This window comes from Homo sapiens, chromosome 7 (genome assembly GCF_000001405.40).
Source record: "Homo sapiens chromosome 7, GRCh38.p14 Primary Assembly".
Taxonomy (NCBI): Eukaryota; Metazoa; Chordata; class Mammalia; order Primates; family Hominidae; genus Homo; species Homo sapiens.
In genome coordinates this window covers 157,017,934-157,027,154 of record NC_000007.14, presented here as the reverse complement: position 1 = coordinate 157,027,154, position 9,221 = coordinate 157,017,934, and positions in this window count along the sequence as shown.

Genomic DNA, 9,221 nt, shown 5'->3' with positions numbered 1-9,221 from the left:
GATAAACATGGATGGAAAAATCCGCAACAAAACACCAGCAAACTGAATTCAACAGCACTTTAAAAGGATCATTCCCTGTGATCAAGTGGGATTTATCTCTGGATGCAACGATGGTTCAATATTACAAATCAATAAGTACAATATACCACATTAACAGAATGAAGGACAAAAACCATATGATCATCTCATTCGATGAATAAAAAGTGTTTAACAAAACTCAACATCCTCTCATGATAAAAAAAAATTCAACAAATTATGTATAAGGTAGAAGGAACGTGCGTGCCTCAATATAGTAAGGACCATATATGAAAAGCTCACCGCTAGCATCATACTCAATGGTGAAAAGCTGAAAGCTTTTCCTCTAAGATCAGGAACAAGACAAGGATACCCACTGTCACTGCTTCTATTCAACATTGTCCTGGAAGTCCTAGCCTAGCCAGGGCAATTAGGCAAAAGAAAGAAATAAAGAGCATCAAATAGGAAAGGAGGCAGTAAAATTGTCTCTGTTTGCAGATGACATGATCTTATGCACAGAAAACCCTGAAGACTCCACAAAAAACTGTTAGAACTGATCAACAAATTCAGTAAAGTTGACGGATACAAAATCAACAAACATAAATCAGTAGCCTTTCTATACACTACGAACTGTCTGAAAAGGAAATTAAGAAAATGATCCCATTTACAATAGCATCAAAAAGAATAAAATACTTCCATGTAAATTTAACCAAGGAGGCGAAAGATCTGTGTAATAAAACCTATAAGACACTGAAGAAAGAAATCAAAGAAGGCTACAAATAAGTGGAAAGGCATCCCCTGTTCGTGAATCAGAAGACTTAATATTGTTAAAATGTCGGTACTACCCAAAGCAATCTACAAATTCGATGCAATCCCTGTCAAAATCCCAATGACATTTTTTGTATAAGTAGAAAAAACAATCCCAAAATTCATATGGAACCACAAAAGACCCCAAATAGCCAAAACAGTCTTGAGAAAGAAGAACAGAGCAGGAGGCATTCCATTTCCTGATTTCAAACTCCATTGTAAACCTATGTGATAAAAATGAGCATGGTTCTGGCATAAAAACAGACACATAGACCAATGGAACAAAATCTAGGGCCTAGAAGTAAACCCACACATATACGGTTAACTGATATTTTTTCTACTTTATTTCCTATAGAGATGGGGTCTCACTAAAGCGCCTAGTCTGATCTTGAACCCCTAGGCTCAAGTGATCCTCCCATCTCAGTCCACCAAGTAGCTGGGATTACAGCACGTAACACCATGCCTGGCTCAGGTTAACTAATATTTGACAAGGATGCCAAGAATAGACAATGGGGAAAGTATTATCTCTTCAATAAACGGTGTTGGAGAATAGATACACACAAGCATAAGAATAAACCTTGACCCTTATCTTACACCACTCACAAACATTAACTCGAAATGGATCAAAGGCTTAAATGTAAGACCTGAAATGGCAAAACTCCTAGAAGAAAACACGGGAGAAATCTCATTGATATTGATCTTGGCAATGATTTTTGGATTTGACACCAAAAGCACAGGAAACAAAAGCAAAAATGAAGTAGGGCAATTTCATCACATCAGAAAGCTTTTGCACAGCAAAGAAAGCAGTCAACAAAATGGAAAGACAACCTATGGAATGGGAGGAAGCATTTGCAAACCACATATCTGATAAAAGGTTGATATCCAAAATATATCAGTAGCTCATACATCTCAATAGGAAAAAAAAAGTAATAATCTGACGTTAACACGGATAAAGGGCCTGAATACATATTTTTCCAAAGGAGACATACAAATGACCAACATGTACACAAAAAGGTGCTCAATGCCACTAACCATCAGAGAAATGCACATCAAAATCACAAGCAGCACTTTACACCTGTTAGCATGGCTGTTATCAAGAAGACAATAGGTAAGTGCTGGTGAGGGTGGAGAGAAAGAGGAATCCCCTACGCAGCTGGTGGGAATAGGAATTAGTGCAGCCATTACGGGAAACAGCTTGGAGTGTCCTCAAAAAATTCAGAATGAGAACTACCATATGACCCAGCCATCCCGCTTCTGGGTTTGTGCCCAAAAGAAACAAAGTCAATATCTCAAAGAGACATCTGCACTCCCATCGTTATTACAGCATTATTTGCAATAGCCACATCATGCAATAATCTGTCTACCAACAAATGCATGGAAAGAAAATGTGATACACACACACACACACACACACACAGGAATATTATTCAGCCATAAAAAAGGATGACATCCTGCCATTTGTGATGGCATGGATGAACCTTGAGGGCCTTATGCTAAGTGAAGTAAGTCAGACAGAAAAAGACAAAACACTGCATGATCATGAACAAATACTTGTTTTTGTTTGTTTTTTGAGACACGGTCTTGCTCTGTAACCCAGACTGGAGTGCAGTGGTGTGATCATAGCTCACTTCACCCTCAGACTCCCGGGCTGAGGTGATCCTCCCACCTCAGCCTCCCAAGTAGTTGGAATTACAGGCATGTACCACCATGCCTGGCTAATTTTTTATTTTTAATAGAGACAAGGTCTCACTATATTGCCCAGACTGGTCTCCCTTAAATGTGGAATCTAAAAAAGTCAAATTCATAGAAGCAAAGAGTAGAATGATAGGCCAGGGGCGGTGGCTCACGCCTGTAATCCCAGAACTTTGGGAGGCCAAGGCGGGTGGATTATCTGAGGTCAGGTGTTCAAGACCAGACTGGCCAACATGGCAAAACCCTGTCACTACTAAAAATACAAAAATTAGCTAGGCATGGTGGTTCATGCCTGTGATCCCACCTACTTGGGAGGCTGAGGCAGGAGAGTCGCTTGAACCTGGGAGGTGGAGGTTGCAGTGAGCTAAGATCATGCCACTGCACTCCAGCCTGGGAGATGAGAGAGACTCCATCTCAAAAAGAAAAAAAAAGAGTAGAATGATAGCTGCCAGGAGAGGGAGGAGCAGGGGGAGCGGGAGGGGAATGGGAAGATATTAGAGGGCGCAAACTTTTAGTTCTAAGATGAATAAGCTCTGGAGACTGTAGTTAATACTGTATTGTATACTTGAAATTTACTGAGATATTTAAATGTTCTCACCAGAAAAAAAGAAAAAGGTAACTATATGAGATTAACTAACTTGATTGTGATAATCATTCATAATATATATGTATGTCAAATCATCACATTGTATACTTTAAATATATAGAATTTTATTTGTCAATTATACTTTAACAAAGCTGGCTTAAACAAAAGTTCTCTCCTCCCCTATTGGTTATGATTTGTGTTTTTCTGGTTACATTTCTGTAGTTTTTATTTTGGCTTTTAAATTTTTATCTTTATTGTGTTTATGTTTAATATTTGCCTACCAGTAGTTAGGAAACATTTCCTTATGTAACTTGGCTACATTAGGTTATGAAATGAAGCTGATCTTCCCTGAGGTTTTTCCATCTTCTCCCTTTCCCTCTCAGTCCCACAGTTTTATAACCTCTCCGTTTGTCCCAGCCATCTCCTGCCTTCGGATGCCATTAGTTTGCGTATTTTGCGACTGTGTCCTGATGCCCGACTGTAAGCTGCCTGGGAAGGTGCTCCAAGTAGACAGGTGGTTGGAGCCAACTCCTGAATGACACGGAAACGGGCTGAGCTGGTAGTGTGGCCAGAGTTCTCATCAGAAATGTGCAAACTTCATCCTGTCTACAGGATGCAAATTATCTCTGTGTACAAGGTAATGGTTAATAAAATGACAAACCAGGGCCACAAGCAGGACATCGTCTTGTTGCACAGAACAGAAAAATGGAAGATGCGGGCTGTTTCCCACGCATCCCCATGTCCTTTTCCCTTTGAAGGACTCTGGGAAACACACTCTATGATATGCCCCATCGTGCGGAAACAGCAGGCTTTAAGTCTGACTTCCCAGAGCACTGCTTCCTTCCCCACTCTGGTCTCTGTGTCCAGGATTTGCTGATGTTCTCTGGTTTTTCACAGGTGCACACTTTCCTCCTCCAAGGAGGCATTCAGTTCCTTGAGCACGGAAAGGGCATTCTAAGCACCTCCTTATCCTTCAGTATCAAGTGGGTCACACAAAGCACTTGCTGACCTGAACCACGTTAAATAGCCTCGTTGGAGCCTTGAGATTAGAAGAGTGCAGGCCAGTGTCACTCACAGCAGGGGGAGGGGCCGCCTCACATGCCCAGCAGGTGTGGCCTCAGCCAGCGCTCACGCACTCAAGTCTGGCAGGTCACCCTTGGGCTGGCCTCTTAGCTATAGCTCCGATCACGTTCAGATGGAGTGGAGAGATGGAAAGAAAGCTAGTCATTTTCCCAGGGTGGACCAGGGGCTGCTGGGGGGAGGCTGGGCCGATTTCTGCAGATTTCAGCCATCCAGTGCTCTTTAATTGCCAAGGACTCCTTTTCCCCTTTAACCCGTACGTAGACAATAGAAGCTAACATTCAGTAAGAGAAGATGAGCAAATGTTGAATTTACCCCCCCAGATGGACTCGGGTGCACACAGGAAGATGGTCAGCTGTTGAGATCCTGCTGGGAATGGCCAGCCTGCGGTTGCAGTGTTAGAGATTTCTGGGAGTCTCTGACCTTCTCCTGCTAGACCACAGCGTCCTTCTCTCCCCTTCCATCTTAGCCAGCGGCCCTGAAGGAATGGCTGCTAGCTTCAGTTGACCTGAAATCCTCCTCTCCCCTCAAAAAAAAGCCATTGTGTAACAGCAGGCATTCTCCCCAGAGGGACAATTTCTAGAAGGGGCGCTGGATGGGAGTCAGGAGTCAGGCCCTGCTCCGGCCACAGGACCCTCGGCAAGGCGCAGCTTCTTTCCCCTTTCCGACCTGGCCTCTAGGTCCATATTTAAAACGGTAAAATTCTCCGCAAGGCGTGCCAGCCCCATCCCTGCCTGCAAAGAGCAAAGCTAGGGACCAGGAAGGAACCTTTCGGGGTTGAAGGGAAGGGCTCCCTCCTCCCCTGACCGGGGGAGGCTGCCCCGGGAGAAGCCGGGGGCAGGTTCACGATTCCCAGTGAATCTCACCTCCCCACCTTTTAGGACGCGGGTCATGAGGAAAACGGGGGTCTCCTTGCTCTGGGAAGAAGAAACCCAAGGTGACGGCGCGCTTACTATTCCGGGGAACCCTTTCCACTCTAGGAGTCTTGGGCCTGAAGGATCAGCTGCTTAGAAATTCACGCAGTAGACAGGTTTCTCCCTGCAGGGAGGGCGAGGCTGAGGGGCTCCCAAGACCCCGGCGGGAGGAAACCCGGAGGAAAACCGCCCCGCCGGCTCTCGGAGCCCGGAAAAGGCCACGGCTTCCAGCCACTGCGGCCGGGGTTGGGGTGGCAGGGCCCGGCAGCGATGCGGACACGGGGAGCCGCCATCCCCCGCTAGGAAAACGCGGGGCGAGGCAGCCTATGGGAACCGGCGAGTCGGCCAGGTGCTGACGCCCTCCACGCCCCAGACCTTGGGCCGCCGAGCGCCACGCTGAGCTGGGGGGCACCGCGCAAGGCCCGCGGGGACCTGGTGCTCACCCGCAGCAGGAACGGGCGGCGGCCGGGGCCCCTCCCAGCTGCCCTCTTCCCTCGGGCCAGGCGGGGCCGCCGGGGCACCTGTGGCCGGGCCCGCGGGCCGAGCTTGGGGCTGAGGCGGAGGGCGGGGCCCGGCACCGGGCGGGCGCGCAGATGCGAAGCAGCGGGCGCCGGCACAACGCGCAGCCCCATAAATCCGCCCGGGAGGAATCCGTGACTTCGTCAATTAAGGAAAAGTGGAGCCCCGCTCCCGTTGAAGCCGAACTCGGGCAGACGGCTGGGAAGCCTGTGGGGGTGGGGGCTGAGCGCAGCCCGGGTGTCCGCGCCGCGCAGCTCGCAAAAGCAAAGGTGCGCCCCTCGGTGCGGGGCTGCTCAGGCGCCTGCGAAGAGGTCGAGGGGGGCTGCCGAGAGGAGACACGGTCTTTTAAAAAGTGATTTTAAAGTTTTGTAGGGCAGCAAGAAGGGAGGGGGTGGAACTGACGTGCTCGGGTAGGGGAGCCCGGCCTGGCGCCCCTCTTGGCCTGCACCCCCGAACCAGGCCCAGGCCCAAGCCCAGGCCCGCCGGGCTCTCCCTGCGCGGATCCGCCCGGGGAGGGGAACCGCGGAGCGGCACGGGCCAGCCATCCCTCTGCGGTGCGAGCGAGGCCTACGGGGAGGCTGGGGAGTCACCGCTCTCCTAGCCCGTGGAAACACAGTGCAGCTCAGGTGTCTCGTAGGAACGCGGCGCTGGGCCCCTCTGCGGGGTCTTCTTATCCCAGAACCACTGGGCTGGGACCAAGTCTTCAACAGAAAGAATTCCAAGTAAAGGCCCAGGCCGGACGCTATGGGCTGCCCGACCCTTGGCCCCGGGCAGCAAGAGGCGCCTGCGGGAGCCCCCGGGAGGGTCCCGCGTGGTGCCCACCTGCCCCAGGAAGGATCTGCGAGGAGGCCGGGTGGCGCATCCTGGCCAGATGTTTAAGACAGATGAGGAACGAGTAGTTAAAACCCACATTATATAGTCCTGTCGGGTATAAAATTGCATGTGCTGACCCATATATTCTAACTGGAAACGGACTCAAGTCACTTAAAATATTGCAACGTCGATAGGACTAATTAATTGGAAATAAGAAACGAAAGAATACAATTAAACGAGAAGAGAATCATTTTCTAATTTAATAGAGGGACATTTATAAAGATCACAAGCTAAAAGGCATCGAATGATTCTATCGACATTCTATTAAATCAGCCCCCGCGGTCTGCGTGGGGAGGAGGGCTCCAGGAGTGCCGAGTCCTGGACCTGGGTTCGGTGGCCGCCTGGAGAAGCTCCTGCTACGAACCGAACGTTTGCGCCGATCGGACGCGGCCCTTTCTGCAGAATTTACTCTTCTCAGCCCGAGGCTCAGACCCAGCTACTCAGACCGCCCCAGCCGGGAGAATCCTGCCTCCCTGCCCGGGAGTCCCCGGTTCGCAGATATATTACAACAAAATTACTAATTGGAAAATGAAATTGTCAATAAAGCATACCCCCCGCGTATACAATATCCTTAAATATTAAGATATTTTATTAGACCCATTTCCTAACAATAATTTATTGCAATAAAACAGACACCGCAGGTCCCCTTAAATTGTCTTTTCATAATGAATAAATTTAAGGGGGCTAATTAATATATAAACTAGCCCAATTTGTCAAGTTGATTTGTATTTTAGTTAATTGTGAAAGTAATTACCACATGGTCAAATTAACAGCTTTCTGGAAATGACCAAGCCTGAGGTTTTATTTCCTTCCTGGGTGAAGAAAATTCATTTTTCCAAGCTCTTGATGTGATGAATAAAAGTCATAAATCTGGGTGATTGGTGCAGGCAGAGTCTAAATGGCTTCATATTTCATTTTAGGTTTAATAGAAATATTCATGCTCTGTTTTAATGAAATTAAATTGAAGGGGGATGGGGCCGGGAGGTGGCAGTGGCCGGGGGCTTAAAGGGACAACGCACATTTTCCTTCCCCGCCCCTGAGCCAGGGCGTTGGGGTCACCTCCGCCGGCGGCGGCCGATGGGCTCACTCCTGCCAGCGGGAGCCGAGGGATACCTGGGAGGGCCCTTCCTGCAGCCGCTCACCTGAAGCGCAGGTAGAGCCAGCTACTGGAACCTCAGCCCAGGTGCCCTCGGGCGCGCCCAGCTCCCTCCCACGAGCTTGCGAAGTCACTGAGCAAGTAGGAGTCTGCGCTGGGTGCGGGTTTGATCCCCTTCTGCCTGTCCCCCAAGCTCAGGCCCGCGCTGCCCGGGGTGGGGGGGTCCTAGGGTCCTGCACTCTTCCCCTTAGGTCGCCTCATGGGGACGCGTAGGAGAGATTCGTGGCCGCGGACACTGCGCGGTTCCCAGCTCCCTCCCTCATGCCCTCGCTCTCCACCGCCCTGTGACCTCCAGCTAGGCTCCGCCTCGCGTGGAAACTGTCCCCGACCGAGCCCAGACGCCAGGGCCGGAGCCTTGGAGCCATAGCGCGGAGCCGCACAGGCGCTGCTCCACCTGCAGAGAAAGAGAAGTTTCCGGACACAGTTATGTGCATCCGGGTCGTGGTGCTCGGAGTTAAGGGGGGCCACGCTGTCAGCCCCTCTGCGAACCTCGGGGGAGGCCCGAGGTCCGTCGGGGCGTCCCTCGGCTCCAGGACTGTCCTTGCCGGGCCGGGCCCCTTAATGGAGCTGATCTGTGACTTGTTGATTTCCCCTGAGCAAATAAGGCTTTGATGCAGTTCCAGCAAGAGTGGTTAGCTGATGAATTGACAAAAACTAATCAGCTTTATTGGGAAACAGGTTAAGGGCACGGGCGTGTCAATAACTCTCAGCCTGACCCCCTCGTCCATTAGCTCAGGCAGGCTGATTAGAGTAAGAAGACCCTCTCGCAGTTTGCGCTGAAATCGCTTCCATAAACTCACCATTATTAGCAGTCGATGCGAGCAGCTCATTTAGAGAAGACATCGCAGGCACGCCACATCTATCATCCGGGTTTATGGATCATTATCTCATTTACAGAATGTCGCAGGGTAATATGTTTTTGGCAATAGGCTTGGCCCCGCGCCTGGGCTGGCCGCTCTCTTTTCAGCAGCGTCCCCGGGACCTCCTTCCCCAGCGCCCGGCCTGGAACTCCGCGTGGACGCTTCTCAGGCGGGAAGGGAGGACTGGAAGCCACCCTACACGTGCGCTCTCGCACGCGCGCACCCAGGGCGCACGCTCCTGACACGCTCGCCCACGCGCTCGCCGCAGTCCGGCGTGCCCGGCTGTGAGCCCCGAGGGCCGGCGCGGCAAGCGCCCCTCCAGCAAGCCCCTAGCTCCGAGCCCAGTGTTAGGAGTTGCTCCAACCTCGGAGCCCGGTGCGAGTTCGGGGTTCTGCTCGGGCACCCGCATACCCCAAGCTTGGGTGGCAGCGCAGGTGGCCAGGTGCGTCCCAAGCGGTGCGCGGGCTGCGCTTACCTGTGCCTGAAGGCGACGGCCTCCCTGCTTAGGCCTCAGCCCGCTCGGCCGCGGAGGCCTGGGTGCCCCGGGACCGTCTGTCCCTAGGAAAGCCCCTCTCTACCCTCCCGGCTCCCGGCTCAGCGGGCCTGACCTTCCCTCCCCTGGGCGTGCCGCTCCCCTCCTCCCGGGCTGCGGCTCCGGGGGCCCAGATGCACCCAGGCGCCGGGAGTGGGCCACCTGTTCCGCCGGGTAATTATTTTAA